General features: G+C 42.1%; 1 protein-coding gene and 2 pseudogenes across 8 annotated transcripts in view, besides 2 other annotated features; 1 reads left to right on the forward strand and 2 right to left on the reverse strand.

Annotated features, from left to right (window-relative positions):
• MGST2 (microsomal glutathione S-transferase 2) overlaps positions 1 to 22,707 on the forward strand; it is an 88,800-nt gene that overhangs the window by 18,534 nt on the left and 47,559 nt on the right. For 6 of the 8 annotated variants that reach the window (XM_017008211.3, XM_047415701.1, NM_001204366.2 and 3 more), the window contains 3 exons: positions 10,845 to 10,915; positions 19,103 to 19,184; positions 19,664 to 19,844. In XM_017008211.3, the coding sequence (XP_016863700.1) occupies positions 10,845 to 10,915; positions 19,103 to 19,184; positions 19,664 to 19,796 (286 nt within the window). In that variant the 3' untranslated portion in view covers positions 19,797 to 19,844. Of the gene's footprint in view, positions 1 to 10,844; positions 10,916 to 19,102; positions 19,185 to 19,663; positions 19,892 to 22,707 lie in introns of those variants that run through there. The other 2 variants (NM_002413.5, NM_001204368.2) reach the window with 2 other exon arrangements.
• RN7SKP237 (RN7SK pseudogene 237) lies at positions 836 to 1,075 on the reverse strand (annotated as a pseudogene).
• Positions 8,250 to 8,299: an enhancer, noted in NCBI's record as "active region_21929". NCBI's record gives its function as "activates an Ori minimal core promoter by ATAC-STARR-seq in GM12878 lymphoblastoid cells {active_cell/tissue: GM12878}" and the evidence as "EXISTENCE:reporter gene assay evidence [ECO:0000049][PMID:35858748]".
• Positions 13,274 to 14,283, reverse strand: H3P16 (H3 histone pseudogene 16; annotated as a pseudogene).
• Positions 16,586 to 16,635: an enhancer, noted in NCBI's record as "active region_21930". NCBI's record gives its function as "activates an Ori minimal core promoter by ATAC-STARR-seq in GM12878 lymphoblastoid cells {active_cell/tissue: GM12878}" and the evidence as "EXISTENCE:reporter gene assay evidence [ECO:0000049][PMID:35858748]".

A 22,707-nucleotide genomic window follows, 5' to 3' on the forward strand; every position in this document is an offset into this window, starting at 1 on the left:
GGGTGGGGACACAGCCAAACCATATCAGTAGGTAAAGAACAAAAGAGGACTGAGCCCTGATGGCATCAGGAGGTCAAGATGATGACAAGGGTCCTGCAGAGAGATCTGAATAAAGGAGATCTTAGAGGTTTTACCCAAACATCTGGTATTAATAATTCTCAACTGGCTGTTAAGAAAGAGGCATTAGAGAGTGACGTGGAAGCTCCATGTGCATGGCTGGGGCTTATGATTGGTCAGGAGGCAGCTTTCTTCTGGAGAACCCTCAAAGTATCTGTAGGTCATCTTTCTGGTACCACTTAGTTTCTCTAGAGAAAACTCTTTAAACCTCCTTCAGGGGTTGAAGGAAAGAGGGGTGGAGATAGGATAATAGGCCTGACTTTTGAGAGTGCAGTAGTAAAGACAGGAAGGTTTTTCGACTGTGCAGTGTGCAGCATGCAGATTCTGACTGTTTTCAGGACAGAATTTTACCCCCACCCTCTATTATTCCTGAAGTCCCTAACAGTCTCTGGTTCTGTTTCTCCAGGCAATAAGCCTCCCACCTCCTGTGATGGGGAGCAGGCTGGGGCTCAGGAGTGGGAAGCAGAGGTGGAGGGCAGCTAAGCCCTCCTTATTCAGTTTTTCAACCACTCTTAAGTTCCAGCCTTTGGCCTCTAAGGTACCTGGGGTGCCCAATTCCTGAGCTTCTTTTGGTTCTGGGGTAAGGATGGTCTCAGTCTTCATTGCTTCTTCCTTCAGCAGGCACATAGGTTTCAGCTTTCTGTACTCTACCAGTCCAGCCACTGTTCCTCCATGTGCTGTCTTTCCCGCAGAATTTTGCTAATGGCTCTCTTCCACTCTTGAGAGATTGTTTGGAGGTTCCAGCAGGGGAGCATAGCTACTCATATACCCTTGACCGAAAACTGGTCCTCCTCTATGGAGGATGGTCGTCCTCTTTGACTGAGCATGCAGCTTTGGGAGGGACGCACATGGAGTGGGGAGGGAGGAAGGGAACACCCGCCTAGCCAGCCAGATCAGCCGAATCAACCCTGGCAATTGATGGGGTGACAGATGTTGCAGCCAGATTACCCTCACTTCCTCTCTTTTACTCTTGTGTCTGCTCTCATTCTCTTTGTTCTTGATTACTCATATCTATTTTTTTTTCTTTAACTAGCATTTTAGTGAAGCTTCAGAAGTGAGAAGAAATGAGCATGGGTTCAATCTGCCATGTTTAACAGGAAGTCATCATGATACATTTTTGATATCCTGTGCACACCCATTTTCCCTTGTCAACAAAAAGAGTCAAACTCTATAAAATACTTAAAGAGATTTATGTATGTATTTATTTATTTTTAGACAGAATCTCACTCTGTCGCCCATACTGGAGTGCAATGGCGCAATCTTGGCTCACTGCAACCTCCCCTTCCTGGGTTCAAGCGATTCTCTTGCCTCAGCCTCCCCAGTAGCTGGGACTACAGGCATGTGCCACCACACCCGGCTAATTTTTGTATTTTTAGTAGAGACAGGGTTTCACCATCTTGGCCAGGCTGGTCTCAAAGTCCTGACCTCAAGTGATCCACCCTCCTTGGCCTCCCAAAGTGCTGGGATTACAGGCATGAGCCACCACACCCAGCCTGAAGAGATTTATTCTGAGCCAAATATGAGTGATCATAGCCCATGCCACAGCCCTCAGGAGGTCCTGAGAACACGTGCCCAGTTTGTTTGGGGTGCAACTTGGCGTTATACATTTTAGGGAGATATGAAACTTCAATCAAATACATTTAAGAAATACATTGGTTTTGTCCAGAAAAGTGGGACAATGTGAAGTGTGGTGGGGTGGGAGCAGGGGGCTTCCAGCTTATAGGTAGATTTAAAATTTTTCCTGGTTGACAACTGGTTGAGTTTATCTAAAGACCTGGGATCAACAGAAGGGAATGTCTGGGTTAAGATAAAGGATTATGGAGACCAAAGTTCTTGTTTGCAGAGGAAGCCTTCAGATGGTAGGCTTCAGAGAGAATAGTTTGTAAAACGTTTCTTATCAGCCTTAAAGTCTGTGTTGCTGTGAATGCTGAAGAGGTATAAGGGGGTATGTCTGACTCTCACTTTCCATCATGGCCTGAAACAGCCTCTCAGGTTAAATTTTTAAAAGAGCCCTGGCTGAGGAGGAAGTCCATTCAGATGGTTGGGGGGCCTTAGAATTTAATTTTTGGTTTACACCCTATTCAACAGAGAAAGAATCTCATGGTCAGAGCCGTCAGCAATCATTAGTATCTAACTAGAATTTAGTAACTTTTTGCTTTCATTGGATTTATTTTTATACTTAACCTTTATTTAGAAAGCTACACTCTTTCTGCTCTTGTAATGATGTAAAATTTATTTTTTCTTAATTTAAGCAAAAAAGCTGATTTGTAGAAAGATAGTGATACATTAAAAGGCTAAAACTTTCACAGTGTTAGATTAATGCTTGAAGTTTGGGAGACACTATGCTATTTATAAAAATCATCACGGGAGGAAATTCCGGATCTTCCCACTTTGTCTTTCATGATCTGAAAACTTGTTGGGAACTACTGGGTATCAAGGAGGCTAAGTCCCTGGGCCACTTCTTGGTTCTATTTTTATTCTCATAGTTTCCACAAATTTGACTTTCTTTGAAGTTATTTTGCTCTCCCTCCTCTTCTATATCTGGAATCCTCTTGTCCCAGGAATAAAACTGAACACCATTTCCAAGTATTTCTCTCAAGTTACTATTTATAAAGTAAGTACTGTATACAAACCCAGTTTCCTTGTTAGAGATGTTTTGCTTTGTTGGATTAATCATGGTAGAACAGAGAGTAGTTAAAAAATGACGATCAATAATCAGGACAGATTTGGAGCCAGGAAATACTTTGAGCAACAACACAGTAGTTGTTCCCCTGGTTTCTCACTGAAGAGTGAATGGGGATGGCTCCACTCCATACTTTGAATTTCTTCTTGAATTTTCCCAGCCCTAGCCCAATTTTTGCCTTAGATTCTAAGGCGTAGGATAAATCGGGCCAAACCAAATCAAGAGTCATTGCTTGCAAAGCCATTTAGACTTTATCTGAAGTAGTTAGAGCAGAATTCCCTGGGATAACCAGTTCAGTCCAAAGCCTACTTGGTTATCTGTTTTTTTCCCTGGAGGAGGAATGCACTGTCTTTTCTGGCTCTCCTGGACCAGAAGCACTGGTTTCCCTTTGCCTCTTTGGAAGGACTTAGAGCTTAGAGGTCCAGCCTTTTCCCTACCCTTTTCTCCTGCTGATTTTGCCCTCAGCATAGCCAAGAAGCCCAAAGTTATGACTAATTCTATCTTTAGGTGGACCTGGACATCTCATCAGCGTCACTTCAAGGTTCACTGATCCTAAAGGACTGTTTCTTGTTGGAAGGTCATCTCAGGGTGGGTATCTATTTGTGACCAGAGCTGATATGGAGTCCAGCCTTTCTGAGTTACTAGCCCTGGGCTCCTTAAAATCTCCATTCACTTCCTCTTCCCTTCCTTACAGGAGAGGACTTACAGATGACAGTCTCTAGAGTCTTGCCGTCTTTTGCCAGAATACATTTTTTAAAATTGTGAAAATAGCAACTATAATTTCACCAAGGACCATTCCTTTACGTTATTACTGAATTTAGAAAATTCTATCTCATCTAATCTGAGCACCTTGATCCCTTTAGAGTAAAGTCATTTTATAAAATCTAAAAAGTAGATCCAAGTAATAAATTGATTTTCTTGCAATTTAAATACATTTCCTCTGATTCTACCTTCACTGGAAGGGGAGAATAGCTGCTGACCTCACTCCTTTTCATGTGCTGAAAGACCATTATTAAGCATCTTTCATCTTCTGGATTTTGAGGCTAGGGAGCACTAATTCTTCAGCTTTTTTTCTCCAACCATTTAGAAATTTTGGTTCTCTTTAGACAAAAATTTTTAATATTATTTCTAAACCTGGAGTCTAGATGTATATCTAGTATACTAATAATGGTTTCTTTGGTGCTGGTTAAGACAGAAGAATTGCTTCTTAGTTCTTGTGAATGCACTCCTATTTGCTTAATGCTGAATTATTCAGTTCCTGTTCCAAAATTAACCTGCCACAAGGCACAGGTAAGCCTGATCATCGTGAATCTCGGTACCCTTTAGAAATATTAGCCTCTTCTCATTCTACTGTGATTCTGTATTTTTTTTTTTTACATTTTATTAACTTTTTAATGTCATTTTGAATTCTGATTCTGAAATTTGGAAATTAAAACTAGTGACCTTAATGCATGTCTAAAAACTATGGAGAAAAAGAAAATTTACAAGAATAGTGATTTTTCAGGTATTGTGCAACTATAAGATTACAGTAATGTGGGCAACTGGCTTTTGTAATAAGTGGAAAAAAAAGAGACAGTAAACATATTCCTGTTTTCTTACAAGTGTAACCATCATGGACAATAGCAGAAAGCACTAGATGCCCTTATCCACTGAATTATTATAAAGGGCTGGGGGCTGGGCGCAGTGGCCCGTGCCTGTAATCACAGCACTTTGGGAGGCCAAGGTGGGTGGATCACTTGAGGTCAGGAGTTCAGGACCAGCCTGGCCAACGTGATGAAACCTCGTCTCTACTAAAAATTACAAAAATTAGCTGGGCGTGGTGGCACATGCCTGTAATCCCAGCTACTTGGGAGCTGAGGCAGGAGAATCATTTGAACCCAGGAGGCGGAGGTTGCAGTGAGCTGAGATCACACCACTGCACTCCAGCCTGGGTGACAGAGTGAGACGCCATCTCAAAAAAAAAAAAAAAAAAAAAAGGGATCTCCCAAAATGACAGAGTGACTCTGTGTGATGAGCTCCTCAAACTCCAGTGTCCTTACCAATACCAAGCAGCATCTGTCACATAATCCGGGAGATTCTCCAGGTGGTCAGGGGACAAGAGGGAGCTGGGAGGTGGAGGAACTGCAAATCTCCTTTCCCTGCATGCTCTTTGTGTTCCCTACAAGCAGCACCACTGAAGGGCAGTGGTGGGACTCATGCTCTCCTGCCACCAGCCGCCACCTCCCTATTGTGTCCCACTCAGAGTTACTTGACAAGGAGCAATTTAGACAGTTACACGTCTTTATAAAAAGATTAACTCCAGCAACCTCTCATCCCCAAGCCTTTTCTGAGCATATTAACCTGTTGCTCTGATCCCAGTCAGTGTAATCATCCAAAAGACCGCCCAGGGTCCAAAGTCAGAAGACCAAGGCCGGGTCATCCATTCAGAGTGCAAATGGCTCATGGCAGTGTACAGCCCACTGGTTCAGGATGAGTCACCTAAACAAGAAGAGAAAAAATCAGAAGCAAACAGAAAACCTGCAAGAAGCAAACTTCCTTTGAATTGCTTTGTCTGTTTTTATTTAGAAAAAGATCTACTGTGAACCTGGCATTAGAAATGGCTCATGAGGTTTTCCTTAGGAGAATGTTTCATATTTTCTGAACAAAGTTGTTGCAAGCAAAGTTGCATATTGTGTTCGTTGGACACGGTCAAATAGAGAAATATTCATAAAAAGTTTTAGGCCAGAAGTCTCCCAAGTGATGTGCCCACATTGAAGGAATACACTAAGTAATCCACTGTGAGGGTGAGGAAAATATTGGAGCATCTGTTTATACTTATTCTTAAAATCCTATCCTTTAATTAAAAAAAATTTTTTTTGAGACAGAGCCTTGCTCTGTTGCCCAGGCTGGAGTGCAGTGGTGCGATCTTGGCTCACTGCAGCCTCCGCCTCCTGGGTTCAAGCGATTCTTCTGCCTCAGCCTCCTGAGTAGCTGGGACTACAGGCACGCACCACCATGCTCAGTTAATTTTTGTATTTGTAATAGAGTCAGGGTTTCACCATATTGTCCAGGCTGGTCTTGAACTCCTGACCTCAAGTGATCCACCTGCCTCGGCCTCCCAAACTGCTAGGATTACAGGTGTGAGCCACCGCTCCTGGCCTTAAATTTTTTTAAAAAAATTTTATTTTTTTATAGAGATGAGGTCTCACTGTGTTGCCCAGGCTGGTCTCAAACTCCTGGCTCAAATGATCCTTCTGTCTCTGCCTCCCAAAGGCCCGGGATTACAGGTGTGAACCAGCTTCCTGATCCCCCATCCTTTAATTTTTATGATGTTTGTTTTATAATGAATATGATATTCTTTTCCAGTTGAATGTATTAGCTGTGCTAATGGATAAATCCCAGATTCTCCATGGTTTAACACAGTGGAAGTTCATGTCTTGCTCAAGTCTGGTCCTATGTGGGAGCTCCTGGGTGTGGGCCTCCTCTGCTGCAGGAGGATGTGTGCATATTTTTATGGGGCTGTGCAACTGTTAGAGCTATGCAATCAGAAAAGTTTGGAGACTAGTGTTGAAGGAACTGCCACATTTGGAGCTGCCAGGCCACAGTTTGATTCTTTTTCCCACCCCCAAATAACATAAACTTTGTAGTATACTTATTGACTGAGACAAGGCCCAAATAGCACTTAGTTTGGGCCATCCTTACTGCTCCTGGTTACCAGATCCAGGTGGGAATGTGCAGTAGTCCTGAGCCCCCAGGGCCCAGGCTCCATGGTACTGGGATGAACAACAAGGGGTCTCAGCAGCTTTAACTACTCAATCTCCACAGTGCCCACCAGACTCTTTCCAGTTCTTCTGGGTCTTACCCAGTTTTAGCACTTAAAGCTCCATGTCCCCCTAAATTCCTCAGTCCCAGGCAAACCAAGATAGCGTTCATGGGAAGCTTCAATATCAAAGGAGCAGGGGATTGTTCAAAGAGGGCTCTCGCCAGGGAATGAGTATACACAGCCTGTTTTCCCATGGACAGCCTGTTTTTCCAGTATGGACATGCAGAGAGGAGACAGTGGTCATAATCAACTCTACCCCCTGTTCTCACAGGAAGGGAAGATTGACAGCTACTGCAGGCTGTTTGCTGTTCCATTTGGGAAATTTTCCTGAGGATCCCCTGTAATAAGAGGATAGAATATATCTGCCTTCATGACTTAAAAGAGGCTATAAATTATTTTCATGTCAATGAAACTGTAATTAGCCACTGACAGGATTGTCAAGAAGTAATTTTCAGAGTTTGGTCCCCTTGAGTTAAACATGCCTGCTGACAGCTTACTGAGGACGTGTTATTGTGGGACACCATCCAGGCCTGGAGGGACCCAGAATCAGGCAGAAGGACATGGTCACATGGTGGAGGGGCTGGAGGAGGTGACAATTAGCAGGTAGAATGGGATTCCAGGTATTTCAAGGCCAAACCAATACTTGGTGCTTTCACCAGGCAGGCAGCAGGGAAGACTGTCAGCAACAAACAGGGCACCCCACTGGCAGTCAGATGATGATGATGATGATGATGATGATGATGATTATTATTATTATTATTTGAGACGGAATCTCACTCTGTCACCCAGGCTGGAGTGCAGTGGCGTGATCTCGGCTCACTGCAAGCTCCGCCTCCTGGGCTCACACCATTCTCCTGCCTTAGTCTCCCGAGTAACTGGGACTACAGGCACCCGCCACCACGCCCGGCTAATTTTTTATATTTTTTAAGTAGAGACGGGGTTTCACCGTGTTAGCCAGGACGGTCTCGATCTCCTGACCTCGTGATTTGCCCACCTCGGCCTCCCAAAGTGCTGGGATTACAGGCATGAGCCACTGCGCCCAGCAATTATTTTCAATCTCTGAGAGATGATAGCAAGAAATGGGCAAAGTCTCATTTCCAAGGGACTAAGGCTTGAGGCAGGTCAGCAAAAGAGGGACCAGGGTGAAAGTACAATGAGCACAGCTGGGACGTGAGGTTGGGGTGAGCTCAGCAGTGACCAGCCACTTGTAGGGGACAAAGGGCCTATTTCTTGAGAAAGAAAGGTACAGAGATATGGTGCTGAGCTGCTCCAGTACTCCAGGTGTTGCCATCCTGTGAGCACAAACGCAGCTGCAATCACATCCTTGCCTAAATCTCAGTGGCTTCCAGCCACCTGCTGCTCACCCAGGATCCCAGCACCCCGGTTCCCCATCTTCCCAATTCCTTCTGGGAATACAGGGGATGTGCCCAGGGACACAGCTCCTGCTGGCAAGCAGCTGAAGCAAGGGGCTATGCCACTGTCCTGCTCCCCAGTCCTCTGTGAGTACAATACCCTCCCCAGGTTCTGGAGTGCCTTCCACCACCACCAGGAGCTGCTCTGGGTCTGTGGCAGAGGGAGATTAAGGGTGTGACTCTCCCCGACTTTGTCTCTTCTGTCATCTGAGGCATGGCACCACTTGTATCTGGAATCTCACCAAGTTTTTCATGAGGACGATCCGTCAGCATCTGTTCTGGTCTCTGGTTTCCCATTAGGTGTGAAACTAGTTCCCTAGCTTGTGAGGGCAGCAGGGGAACTCCAAAACATCCCCTCTATTTTTATTTCCTTTCTCCTTGCTCAAAGGCCTTCTTCCTCTTTCAGATAAGAGACACAAAAGCACACATGCCTATCAATTTATGTGGACAGACACCCAAAGGGCTTCTGCCCTCTGCAGTGCAGTTTGGACTTAGGACATTCTTACACAATATTATCTCTTTGTCCCCAGATGCCAAGCCAAGGCCACTAGAAAAACCTCTAAATAATTAGACTTTTATGAAGGCTAACCTGGGCTATTTTTGAAGGTGCTTTTAAAACAATCTTATCACACCTAATTTTGAATAAAGATATGTTGTGGAAAAACTTGATGCTTACATTTGGAATAATTTAAGGTGTATTACAAAACAATAAATGATGGGACAATTGTGTTATGTTTCCAAAAAAGTTCATATAAAATTTCAGTGAGTGGGCTGGGCGCGGTGGCTCACGCCTGTAATCCCAGCACTTTGGGAGGCCGAGGTGGGCGGATCACGAGGTCAGGAGATCGAGACCACGATGAAACCCCGTCTCTACTAAAAATACAAAAAATTAGCCGGGCGCGGTGGCAGGTGCCTGTAGTCCCAGCTACTCGGGAGGCTGGGGCAGGAGAATGGCGTGAACCCAGGAGGCGGAGCTTGTAGTGAGCCGAGATCGTGCCACTGCACTCCAGCCTGGGCGACAGAGCAAGACTACGTCTCAAAAAAAAAAAAAAAAAAAAGAAATTTTCAGTGAGTGTGGAAGGACTAGAGCCTTCCTCTGCTACTACTACATTTTACCTCGTGGGAAACAGGCCTATGGATTTAGCCAAGGAAAAAGAAACGTGGGAATGCTGTTTATTCCTTGCATAGCCGTAATATAAAGTATGAATTTTATCAAGTATCTTTTCACTCAACCTATCATAGCCACTCAAAAAGATGTTAATGGAAAGACAACCATCAGAAGCAAAATCATGCCAAGAACGAGAAGCAGCAGGAGGAAAAACTTTGGTTACTTCTGTGAGTTCTAGAAAGTTGTAGTTACGGTTTGCAAGAGTATCAGTGTTAGGCTTTAGACAAGACATTCCTTGGGTCACCAGTGGCCTTTTGGGTGGTAATGGCCACAGTCCAAAAAGGAAGAAGAAAGCAATTTTGCATTCATATTATCCATTTCCAATTTTTTAGGGGACTGATGGTCACTCTCCTGGCCCTTAGAGATGTGTGTGGGTAACCTCGCTGGTGTCTTTGCTGGTGGGGTTAAAATTTTCCATACGTGCTTCAGGACTCTACCTCAGCCATGTCTTTCTGTGAGCATTGAGCTTGTTAATGATGCATGTTTCTTACCCAGCTTTAAAAGATGATTGAGTTATTACTGGGGAGTTATTATTGGGGAGTTTTTTCCCATGTAGTTGAGGCATAAGTTGATAAGGTTGAGCTGACCTAGACGCAGTTTTCTGTGGGATTATGGAGAATGAGGGAAGAATTACGCTTTGTAATTATGCTTTTTTTTTTTTTTAAATTCAGAGAAAAAAGATCACTTATGGTGACCCAGGCTAAAAGACCTAGGTCTTCAACAACCAGCGTCATCTATTTCTAGATCAATTGCCTTGTAATATTAAGTATTTAAGCTTTGAGGCTTACTGAAGGAAAGATATGGGGTCATTTACAATCCTGTAGACTATGACCTTCCACCAGGATCTACTCAAGACCTCATCACACATTATGTTAAATTCTTTCTGGTGGTGAAATTGTCAGCAAAGAGCTCGGCCAACCTAACCAAGATCACTTGGAGTTATACCTTAGGAGGGAGGATGAATATAAGTCATCTTTTTCCCCTTTGTTAGATGCAGATGAATTAATTATAGTTCCCAGAGAACTATTCCCTTTTGCTTAAATTAGTGTCAGATTTTCCATCCACGTCTTCTATGAATAGAGGCAATATGACTTGACATTAGGACAGAGCTTTGGAATCTAGAGATGGATGCTGTCTATCTTTGATTCTCTGCAATGCATGTCAGTCTGGGCTCTCAGGCCTTAGTTTCTTCCTCCATAAAATGGGAATGAAATATGCTCACTGATTTACTTCAGGAGATTTTAAGGGAATTATTTAAAGACCATTTTGTAATGTTCTGGGTAACTCAAGTGGAAGGCAATGGATGTGAGGGAATTTTTAAAATAAGAAATCTCTTGAATATGAATTGAGTAATCTCTTAAGTTCTTTAGATAAGATATGGAGTGATCTTTAGGCTCAGGAGGCCTGTCTTTTGGGAAAGTGCTATAACTCACTTCTACTACCGGCAACTTAATACGTAAGAGAATATTCTTGGCCCTGCTCTGAGGTTTAAACAATGTTCAACCTTGAAAGATTGATTTTAAATGTAAAGGTCATTTAAACTCTTTTGTAAGTTCTTATATTTTGTTAAAATAGGCTGAACATTTACCTCTAGATGAAAAATCAATGCTTCAGTGTATACTTTTCTCATAAAATAACCTATGTCTTTATTTTTTTCTGCAGACAAAACTGTGTGGAGTTTTATCCTATATTCATAATTACATTGTGGATGGCTGGGTGGTATTTCAACCAAGGTAATGTTAAAATACAGTCAACTGTGTTCTAATGATGACTGTGATGCTTAAACGATTAAGGAGTAGATATATGGCCAGGCACGGTGGCTCACACCTATATTCCCAGCACTTTGGGAGGCCCAGGTGGGTGGATCACCTGAGGTCAGGAGTTCGAGACCAGCCTGGCCAAAATGGTGAAACCCTGTCTCTACTAAAAATACAAAAATTAGCTAAGTGTGGTGGCGCATGCCTGTAATCCCAGCTACTTGGGAGGCTGAGACAGGAGAATCACTTGAACCCAGGAGGTGGAGGCTGCAGTGAGCTGAGATCGTGCCACTACACTCCAGTCTGGGTGACAGAGACTCCATCTCAAAAAAACAAACAAAAAAAGGAGCAGATATGCAACTATATAGCTACCAATCCTGGAGACTAAACAAAATAAACAGTGTGTGCATCAGAGTGCTATGTTGCAGGTATATGAACTTTGGCTTCATTCTAATTTAATTCAATAATGAAAAAAATATTGAGACAAACTATATGCTAGATACTCAAGAATGAGAACGACATGAGCTTTGTCTTCAAATCTAATAATCTACAGTTGACTCGAACAATGGAGGGGTTGGGGTGCTGACCCCCCGCCCCACACACACACAGTAGAAAATCTGCATGTAACTTGATAACCCAAAACTTGACTACTGATATCCTATTGGTCTGGAAGCCTTACTGAGTACAGTCTACTAATAAATATTTTGCATGTTTTATGTATCATATACTGTATTCTTGCAATAAAGCAAGCTAGGGAAAAGAAAATGTTATTAAAATTATAAGTAAGAACAAATATTTACTATTTATTAAGTGGAAGTGGACCATCATAAAGGTCTTCATCCTCATCATTTTCACGTTGAGTAAGCTGAGGAAGAGGAAGAAGAGGGGTTGGTTTTGCTGCCTCAAGGGTGGCAGAGTCAGAAAAGGTGAAGGAGGTGGAAGCGGAGACAGAATTGGCAGGCGCAGTAGGTATAAATTTATAGAAATATCATTTCTGACGTTTTTGCTTTTTTTCTCTAAAAATGTTTCTATATAGTACCAATCCTTCTTCCACTGTTACGTTTAGTTTCAGTGCTTGTATCATAGAAGGGTCCATGTCATAAAAGAAGTAAAAAAGCAGACTTGAATCATCAGAACCCTTCTGCCAGATTGTCTAATGTCAATTTGTTTTCTGGTACTGCCTCTTCTGTCTTCTTCCTTATCATCTGGCAGTGGTTCAGAGCACTCGTCTCTACCAAGTCATCTTCTGTTAATTCATCTGGCGTGGTGTCTATTAGCTCTTGAATTTCTCCAAGATTCATATCTTGAGACCCTTCATCCCCCACATTCTTTGCCACAGCCACTATCTCTTTCATGATTTCCTTGATTGGCTCTGTTGTAAATCCTGTGAGTGTCATGCACAACGCCTGTACACAGTGTTCTTCAGCAAGAATTTATTGTTTCAGGTTTGACGGCTTTCACAACCTTCCTATAACAATGCTAGCATCTTCAATGGTGTAATCCTTCTAGGCATTCATAATGCTGTTTCTATCAGGGTTCTCTTCCACAACATTGACGATCATATCCATAGAGTACCTTGTATCATGAGCCTTAAAGGTCCTGATAACCCCCTGATTTAGAGGCTGAATTAAAGATGTTGTGTTTGGGGGCAAGTAGACTACTTTTATGCCTTCCACGTTGAACTCATGGGGTTCTGGGTGGTCAGGGACAGTGTCCAATATCAAAAGAATGTTAGAAGGTAATCCCGTCCTGACTTCAGGGACAAAGCATTGATGGAACCAATCCAGAGAAGGGGTTCTTGTTGTCCAAGCTTTTTTTTTGTACAACCAAATGACTGGCAGGTGCTGTTTATCTTTTTCCTTAAGGCTCAGGGGGTTAGCAACTTTATAGATAAGGGCAGTCCTGATTATAAACCTGACTGCATTTACACAAAACAGTAGAGTTAGCCTATCCCTTCCTGCCTTAAATCCTGGAGCTTGCTTCTCTTCTTTACTAATAAATGTCCTTTGTGACTTTTTTTTTCTCCCCCGGGACAGGGCACTTTTGTTTGCATTAAAAACCTGTTCAGGCAGATATCCTTTCTCCTCAATGATTTTCTTAATGGTGCCTGGGAACTCATGTATTGCTTCTTGGTTGGTAGAAGCTGCTTCTCCTGTTATCTTGATATTTTAAAAGCTAAACTTCTTTCTAAAATTATCAAACCATCCTTTGCTGGCATTAAATTCTTCAGCTTTAGATCCTTCATCTTCCTTTTGCTTAAAGTTGTCATACAAGGATTTTGCTTTTTCTCGAATCCTATTAGAGTCTACAAGTATGTGTTTCTTTTTTCTTTTAATAGTTTAATGTATTTTAATAGCAAACTTACAGGAACAGCACAGAAGACAGACAACATTAAAAACATGTACTTGCATGTAGGACAACTCAGTTAGAAAAGTATAGTGAATGGATGGAATCTACTGTATGATAAAAATGCTACAAGCACCATTTAGTTGCCATCAATAAGAAATTTACTTGTTTTAAAAAAATCCAAATGCTGGCATTGTCCAGAAAAATTTAACAGGTTTATTTATAATTATTATAAAGTTGAACCGCTGAAACTTGTTCACTGAAACATTTTAACTTGCATTAATGCTTTACGTCTCCGCATTTATATTAAAAATTCACACACAAATGAAAATGGAAAAACTGCCAATACCTGATTTCTGTCCCCTATTTTTCCACTCGCAATCATATACTTAGGTACCTTTTGACCCCATGGAAAAAAATTATCTAACGTTCAGAACTACCAATAACAGGAAGAAGAGAAATTTTTTTTTTTTTGAGAATGAAATGTTTCCCATCATAGTGGATTCTTAAGCACGTTCTCCACGTATGCTGTGTGCTAGCTGGATGTCTTTTGGCATAATTGTTACACGTTTGGCATGGATAGCACACAGGTTGGTGTCTTCAAAAAGGCCAACCAGATAGGCCTCACTTGCCTCCTGCAAAGCACCGATAGCTGCGCTCTGGAAGCGCAGATCTGTTTTAAAGTCCTGAGCAATTTCTCGCACCAGACGCTGGAAGGGAAGTTTGCGAACCAGAAGTTCAGTGGACTTCTGATAACGTCTAATTTCACGGAGCGCCACAGTACCAGGCCTGTAACGATGAGGTTTCTTCACCCCTCCAGTAGAGGGCGCACTCTTGCGAGCGGCTTTTGTAGCCAGTTGCTTCCTGGGTGCTTTACCACCGGTCGATTTGCGGGCAGTCTGCTTTGTACGAGCCATGGTACAGAGACCTCCTTACTTACCCCCCTTCTCCTTCGGCTGGAGCTCGGCGAGCGAGAGGCGGCGCTGGCGTTGGAGAGCCAAGTATGTGTTTCTTATAGCAATCCTGCTCCCACATAAAAGCTGCATTTCAATATGAGATAAAAAGACATTTTGGAAAAAGTGCAAGGTTTTTCCCCCTGCTGGTGTAGCTGCAAGTGACAGCTTTACAAATCACTTTTTCTTTCTTTTTTCTTTTCTTATCTTTTCCTTTCTTCTTTCTTCATCTTCTTTTTTTTTTTTCCACTGGTCCTTGCACTGAATTCATTTATCTTGCAATGGTGGTCAACCACAGCTCACAGCTGCAGACCTCAATCTATGACACATATTAAGCCATTCAATTTTTTCTTGTAATATCATAACTTTTCTCTGCTTTTTGGGAGCACTTTCAGCACCACTAGTAGCAATCTGTATGGGTATCATGGCATTATTCAAGGTTTATGGTATTGCACTAAACATTGATGAAAAATAGGCAAAAACCCTGAGAGATCACTTTTTACTGCGATACGCAATTTTCTGGAAAGAAGAACTGCTCAGTTGGAGATAATTAGCATCACCTTTTAAGCAGATACTTGCAACACTTGAGCTCACTGCAATAGCAACAGGAGGTGGCTACAAAATATTTACAGTAGTACAGTATTTCTATAGTTAATTTTATGCAGTTATGATTTAATACTGCATCTTTACACTTGTTTACATTTCTCTCAACTACAAGTGGCATCATGCATTATGGTCTGTGTTTGTATGCTTTGATAAATTTTAACTTTGCATAAAATTCATATATATATCTATATAGTCTTTCTGCTGAAGCTTTGTAAAAATTTGCGTATATTTTATGATAGTAAATGATAAAATAGACCAGTATCTACATCTGTTTTGTGCATTTGTGACAGACCTTTTTCCTAATTTTTCAGTATTTCTGGGCTATGTGATTCATTTGTGAGTTTTGTCACATTGTCACAAATCTCCAAAATGTTTTCCAATATATTTATGTTTATTTTTGTAAAGCCACCTCCTGCACAATCCAATATATTTATTTGAAAATATCCATGCATAAATGGACCTGTGCAGTTCAAACCCATGTTGTTCAAGGGTCACCTATAATTCTAATTAACTGAAGGAGGAGGACACAGAATGAAAAATTCACATTAATAATTATAGCTGGCGAGGCCCAGAAGCTTATGCCTGTAATCCCAGCAATTTGGGAGGCTAAGGTGGAGGGATTGCTTGAGGCCAGAAATTCACGACCAGCCTGGGCAACAAAGGAGACCCTGTGTCTACAAAATTTTTTTTAAAAAACTATCTGGGCACACATGTAGTCCCAGCTACTTGGGAGGCTGAGGTGAGAGGAGCTCTCAAGCCCAAGAGTTTCAGGCTGCAGTGAATCATGACAGTGCCACTGCACTCCAGCATGGGTGACAGAGTGAGACCCTGTCTCAAAAAGAAAATAATAATAATTATCATTATAGCTATTATTTATTGAGCCCTTACTATGTGCCAGGTACTGTTTTTGTTTTTTGGTCTTTGGTTTTGCTTTTTTTTTTTTTTTTTTTTTTGAGATGGAGTCTCGCTTTGTTGCCCAGGCTGGAGTGCAGTGGTGCGATCTCGGCTCACTGCAAGCTCCGCCTCCCGGGTTCACGCCATTCTCCTGCCTCAGCCTCCGGAGTAGCTGGGACTATAGGTGCCTGCCACCACGCCCAGCTAATTTTTCGTATTTTTAGTAGAGATGCTGTTTCACTGTGTTAGCCAGGATGGTCTCGATCTCCTGATCTCGTGATCCGCCAGTCTCGGCCTCCCAAAGTGCTGGGATTACAGGCGTGAGCCACCACGCCCGGCCACCAGGTACTGTTTTTAAGTTTTATGCATACATTGTCCCATGTGTAAGATTTACAGGATTTAAAGCCTTCATATGAGGGAGGGTCTATAATTAATTTATACTTTACAGATGAGGAAGCTGAGGTACAGAGATGTTAAGTAATTTTTCCAACTTGACATTCACCAATGTGGGGAAATTTTTCCTTTCAAGTGCAGAGCCGGGTCTGTAAGTATTTGTACCAACAACCCATGCACCTTTTCTTAAAGGTCTCCAAGTATGTAGTGCTGCCGTTTGTATGTAGCGACTCTACAAACATCCACTTTCTATTTGACTGGGGTATCCTTGGTGAGCTGAGGGCTTTCTCCAAACTTGGCTTATGCGTTTAACAGTGAGTCAGACCAGCCCCTGCTACCTTCGTTGGAGAAATTCAATCTCCTTTTTCTGGTAACTTTCACTGTCTCATTTTGGTCTATACTTGATTGCCAAGATTTAAATAAACCAAAATCCAGCTGCTTTCAAAGGCAACCCCATCACTCTCTTTCTTTTAGTTTTTACTGTGAACTGAGTAATTTCAGGTACAATGTCCTTTAGAGAAAGACTTCTTCACTTTATTACAACTATACTTGTGTCGCTTAAGGGCATGAATGAAACCGCTGTTCCTTGTCACGTAAGAGCACGTTAACAACTAATAAGAAAAGCGCCTTTTGGTAATGGGACTCTGTCTCTGCCATTTGACCCTTTGGATTTCTCTGTGATAGGCTGAATGAGGCAGACTGCCTGTCAGAAAGGATTGCTTGAGTATCTTGTCAGAAATTTCTTTTCATTCTTTCTCATCCAAAGTAAGTCACCTACTAACTGTTCCTGAACTGTTCTCATTGGCTTTCTGGGAGTAACTCCCTAGACAGGGAGTCTCAAAACTGAGAACCATGTTCAGAACTCTTTGGCTTCCTCAGACCCTGGGAAGGGTCCACCAGCTCTTCCTTCCCAGCTCTTTGCTTGGTCCGCTCGTTCCTGTCCTGTGGTGCCGATACAGATGTCATCCCCTCCAGAGGCCTTCCTATACCCCATTTTGGCAACCTCCTCCAGTTCCTCTCTCTCCCATCTCTCTTCATTTCTTTCACAGCACTTTCAAGTTTGCACTTTTCTTCTCATTTTTTTCTTTGTTGTCTGTCTTTGCTGAGAGAATGTATACTCTCTGAAGTCAGGGAGCTTGTATCTTTTTCACTGCCGACCTCAATCCTTAAAGTAATACCTGGTTTATGGTAGATACGGGGCTGGGTGTGGTGGCTCACACCTGCAATCCCAGCACTTTGGGAGGCCAAGACAGGAGGATGGCTTGAGTCCAGGAGTTCAAGACCAGCCTAGGCAACATAGGGAGGCCTTTTCTCTGAAAAAAAAAATTAAAAAATTGGCCAGGCCTGGTGGCATACACCAGTGGTCCCAGCTACTTAGGAGGCTGAGGTGGGAGGATTGCTTGAGCCCAGGAGGTTAAAGCTGTGCTGAGCTGTGATCATGCCACACATTCCTGCCTGGGTGACAGAGCAAGACCCTGTCTCAAGAAAAAAAAAAAATCATGCGGCCAAGTAAAATAATAAATTTAATTTAATCTAGCATATCGCAGTCCCACACATAGACTCCAAATGTTTACAGTAGGGCTCTGGCAACTTGCATCTGTGAGGTGCTGAGGAAGAGAGTGGGGCCCTAACATAGGGAAGACATTGATATGTATTGATATGTTTCACTGGATGCGATGATAGAACATCATCATACTGTATTTCATAATTCTTTTTGAGATAAATTTTGTATGTAATAAAATGCATAAATCTTCAATGAATGTTGAGAAGTACACACACCTGTGTGGTCCAGATCTCTATCAAGATCTAGAACATGACAACCACCCAGAAAGTGTCCTCCTGCTTCTCCCAGTCAGTCCCCATTCTCACTCCCAGATGCAAGCACTTCTGATTGTTTTCATCAGTTAGGTTTGTCCATTCTAGAACTTCGTATAATTGGAATCATACAGTATGTAGCCTGTATAATGCTTCATTCACTCAGCAAAATGTTGTGTTGCATAGATCTGTTTTTTTTCATTGCAAAATGTTGTGTTGCATAGATCTGTTTCTTTTAATTGAATAGACTCTATCACAGCTTGGTTATCCATTCTCCTGTTGATAGGCTTCTGGACTGTTTCCAGTTTTTGTCTATAATGAATAAATCTGCAATGAACATTCTTAAACAAGTCCTTTTGTGAACACATGCTTTCATTTCTCTTGGGTAAATACATAGGAATGAGATTGCTGAGTCAAATGTTACGTTCGATTTTATAAGAAACTACCAGAACTTTTCCCAAAGTGGCTGTACTATTTTGCATTCCTGCCAATGATGTGTGCGGATTCCAGTTGCTTCACATCCTCACCAACATTTTGTGTTACTGGTTTTTTTTTTTTTTTTTTTTTTTTTTACAATTTTAGCCATTCTGTTGGATGTGTGGTGGTGCCATCTCATTATAGTTTTTTATTTATTTATTTATTTTTCAGATGGAGTCTCAATTTGTCACCCAGGCTGGAGTTCAGTGGCATGATCTTGGCTCACTGCAACCTCCACCTCCTGGGTTCAAACGATTCTCCTGCCTCAGCTTCCTGAGTAGCTGGGACTGCAGGTGCCCGCCACCATGCCCAGCTAATTTTTGTATTTTTAGTAGAGACGAGGTTTCACAATGTTGGCCAGGCTGGTCTTGAACTCCTGACCTCAAGTGATTCACCCCCCCTCGGCCTCTCAAAGTGTTGGGAATACAGGCCTGAGCTACCACGTCCAGCCTCATTATAGATTTAAGTGGGAATTTGTTGATGTTGAATCATGTTGAAACATTTTTCTTGAGATTATTGGCACATTTGTTTCCTTCCTATGTGGATTCTCTCTATATTCTGAATATAAGTATCTTGTCCAATATATGTTTTGTGAATATTTTCTCAGTCGTCGTACAACATCTTAAGAGACTGCTGTTGTATTTTGTGCCTTTTCTTTTTTTTTCCCACCCCCCTATAGTTTTTGCTACTTGTCTGGGTCTGGTGTACATATATGGCCGTCACCTATACTTCTGGGGATATTCAGAAGCTGCTAAAAAACGGTAAGGAGAACCCAGTAATTTTGTATTTATGCAAAAAGTAGCAGGATAAGGTCTGGGTCAGTTTCCTTCTCCTGAGAGATATTAACAGCACTGTGAGTTGTGGTGGCAAAAGTAATCCATACTGTCTGAGGTCAAGTCTTGCCAGTTCATACACAATTAGGCATGAGATGGGAAAATGCAAGTATAAAACTGTGCACTGAATGTGGACTCTAGTTCCTTGCAAAAATTTTGCATTGTCTCCAGAAAGTTACCGAGGAAATAATCCTGCCTAGCCTTGATAATGCTTTGAATGTTCAAAGAAACCAAGTGATCTCTATGGCTAGGCATTCCCTTTAACTTATGTGATGAGCTAAAATTTTCAAATTGCAAAAATATAGAAGTTCTGGACAGTGTTAACGATAGGACAGCCTACCTCAGGACTCTCAGCTTCCTTATTACAGTCCAGTTTGTCACTTTTCTCCCTCATGTCCACTCTGCAGGATCACCGGTTTCCGACTGAGTCTGGGGATTTTGGCCTTGTTGACCCTCCTAGGTGCCCTGGGAATTGCAAACAGCTTTCTGGATGAATATCTGGACCTCAATATTGCCAAGAAACTGAGGCGGCAATTCTAACTTTTTCTCTTCCCTTTAATACTTGCAGAAGCTGTTCCCACCATGAAGGTAATATGGTATCATTTGTTAAATAAAAATAAAGTCTTTATTCTGTTTTTCTTGAAATGGCTTTGTAGAAACACACACTTTAGAGAATACATTTCCTGTTTAAGAACTGAAATTTGCTTGGGGTAGGTACATCCATATCATCAGTGGAAGTGTGTTGTGCCCTAGTTTTAGAAATGCATGCTGAAGTCATGACCGGTTGTGTAGGGACACAGCAGCCTGACCCGTGTGCTGGCCGTTCCGAGGACTACTGACATATCCTGCCACTCTGACTGCTTCTCTCTTGATGGAAAGTTTCAGACAGAAGCTGATAAAGCAGCTGAGCCCTTTCATTGGTTATAGGAAAACAACAGATAGGAAGGCATGTGGGGGACATCAGGCAAACACATAGAGTAGCCAGAGAAGGGAGTCATCAACTGATAGCACAAAACAAAACAGGTTATAGAAGGCTGGGCGTGGTGGCTCATGCCTGTAATCCCAGCACTTTGAGAAGCCGAGGCGGGCAGATCACAAGGTCAGGAGATCGAGACCATCCTGGCTAACACAGTGAAACCCTGTCTCTACTAAAGATACAAAAAATTAGCCGGGCATGGTGGCGGGTGCCTGTAGTCCTAGCTACTCGGGAGGCTGAGGCAGGAGAATGGTGTGAACCTGGGAGGCGGAGCTTGCAGTGAGCCAAGATCGCGCCACTGCACTCCAGCCTGGGTGACAGACTCTGTCTCAAACCAACAAAAAACCCAAAGAAAAACAAAAACAGATTATAAAAATGTACTTTATAAAGAAAAAAGTGTTTCCAGGCCAAAAGAGCTTGCTGCCTGATGCCCATACTGTAAAACCAGGTTTTTGGGAAAAGAAAGAAATTTAATTTTAAAAAAGAGACGGTCTTGCTGTCACCCAGGCCGGAGCCTCCAACACATGGGCTCAAGCGAGCCTCCTGCTTCAGCCTCCCAAAGTGCTGGGATTCAGGTGTGAGCCACTCTGCCCGGGCAACAAAAGCTTTATATTGCAAGTCAACTCACAGGAAGATAGGAGTCAAGCTCAAATCTGTCTCCCTCTGCTGGCTTCCAAGCAGTATTTTTATTAGAAAATGTCAGGGGGTAAATTCTGAGATTAGTAGGTGATTGGTGGAAAGAAAGGGGAGGTCTGAAAAGTCCTTGGGCATGTCCAGTTATCTCTTTATGCTGCCTCAGAGGTAGCATGTGCAAATTCCAGAGGAGTTAGTATGAAATGTCATGGAAATTCAGGCTGTGACATCAGCAAGCTTGTTCTGTGCAGACTCCAGTTAGCCATCTTGGTTCCAACAAATTTCAGCCAGTTTTTTTTTAATCTCATAAGGAGAGAGAGTTTCAGTGTTTCAGTAAGTTATTTCTTTTCTTATCTGCCATCCTCCAAATTCAAGAATTTCCTTTAGTTATTGGTTTCTTGAACTCTTTGGGGCACAATTTCAAGAGGAAGAAGTAAAAAAAGGATACCATTTCAAGGAATTGCCCAGGGACAAGTGCGAAGAGAATATTCTTTCTCTTGGCTGAGGAAGGTGGGTCATGCTCACGGCTGTAGAACGTGGGTTGGGTTCTGCTGCATGCCCTGTGTCATGTGGGGTTTGGAGGGTGATACGGGAAGTACAGCGGAACCCCCAAAGCTGTTCTGACCCTGAAGTGCAGTTATTGTCTGGCAAAATGCAGATGACTTTTCCTCATTTTCTTCATCTGTAAAATGAGAACGATTCTACCTCACAGCTTTCAAATAAAAGGCAAAATGAATTATGAGCATACATAACACATTTTGACGTCAGGAAAAGGGCTTGAGTCTGGTGTGGGCATCTTCAAAAATTGTTTAGTAGTACTTTTCTTTTTTTGTGGATACAATAGAAGTTAAAAAGGCCGGGAAAAATATTAATAGAAAAAGAAAGAGAGACACTTAAATACTAGTGTTCCCATAATACATAACCTCCTGCATCCCAAATAGCAGTACAGTATTAAATACCCCAAAGCACACTGAGAATATACTGGCCTGGGAGTGGGCACATTTGCATACTAGCTCAGGTTCCCCTACTCATTGGTCATTTGAATTTGGACAAGGCACCCCATCAGTAGGAGGTTGTGAATCAAAGAAGTGAAGACTCCAGAACCAGACCACCCTATCCTGTCCTATCACTTGCTGGCTGTGCTACCCCAGCACTTTGTAGCTCTCTGCCTTGGTTTTCTTTTAGGTAAAATAGGGCAAATATGCTAAAAAGCTATGATTCTATGGTCTTTTTACTTAATATTCTTTTCAGTTATGATCGTGACTTGGATTGTGACATTTTAATTGTTTTATACACTGAGACCAATGAAGGATGAGAATGCAAATTTTTGATACTAAGGCATAATTACTTCATAACCATGTCCTTTGCAAGTTGAAAAGAAACTTTCCAAATCTTACAACTGAAGATTTTTAAGCAATTTCTGTTTTGCACTTAAATTGGCTCTGGGCAGGGTAAAACACACACATACACACACACACACACACTTTGGTTAAACACGTGGAAATAAGCTATGGGTGTAGCAGACTATCAAGGCCTTGTCACTTTAAACATTCAAACGATAGATTTTCCTTTGTTCTAATTGCATTGTCACCAGGCAACCTTTTGATTATTTTCATTCCTATTAGATTTGGCTACAGAGAGCAACCATTTCTGGCCACAGAGATGTGGGTTTCTGATCGGTTTGACAATTACATGTACATTTTTTGTATATTACTAAATTGATCAATTTTATTTTTAGAAATCAGATTCATTGCCTTAAAAAGTCAGTGTCAGGAAGTGGGGGATAGAGAAGAACTTTTCTGCATTAAGAGTCTTTTTTAAATTTTTTTATTTTTATTTTAT

Source organism: Homo sapiens, chromosome 4, assembly GCF_000001405.40.
Source record: "Homo sapiens chromosome 4, GRCh38.p14 Primary Assembly".
NCBI lineage: Eukaryota > Metazoa > Chordata > Mammalia > Primates > Hominidae > Homo > Homo sapiens.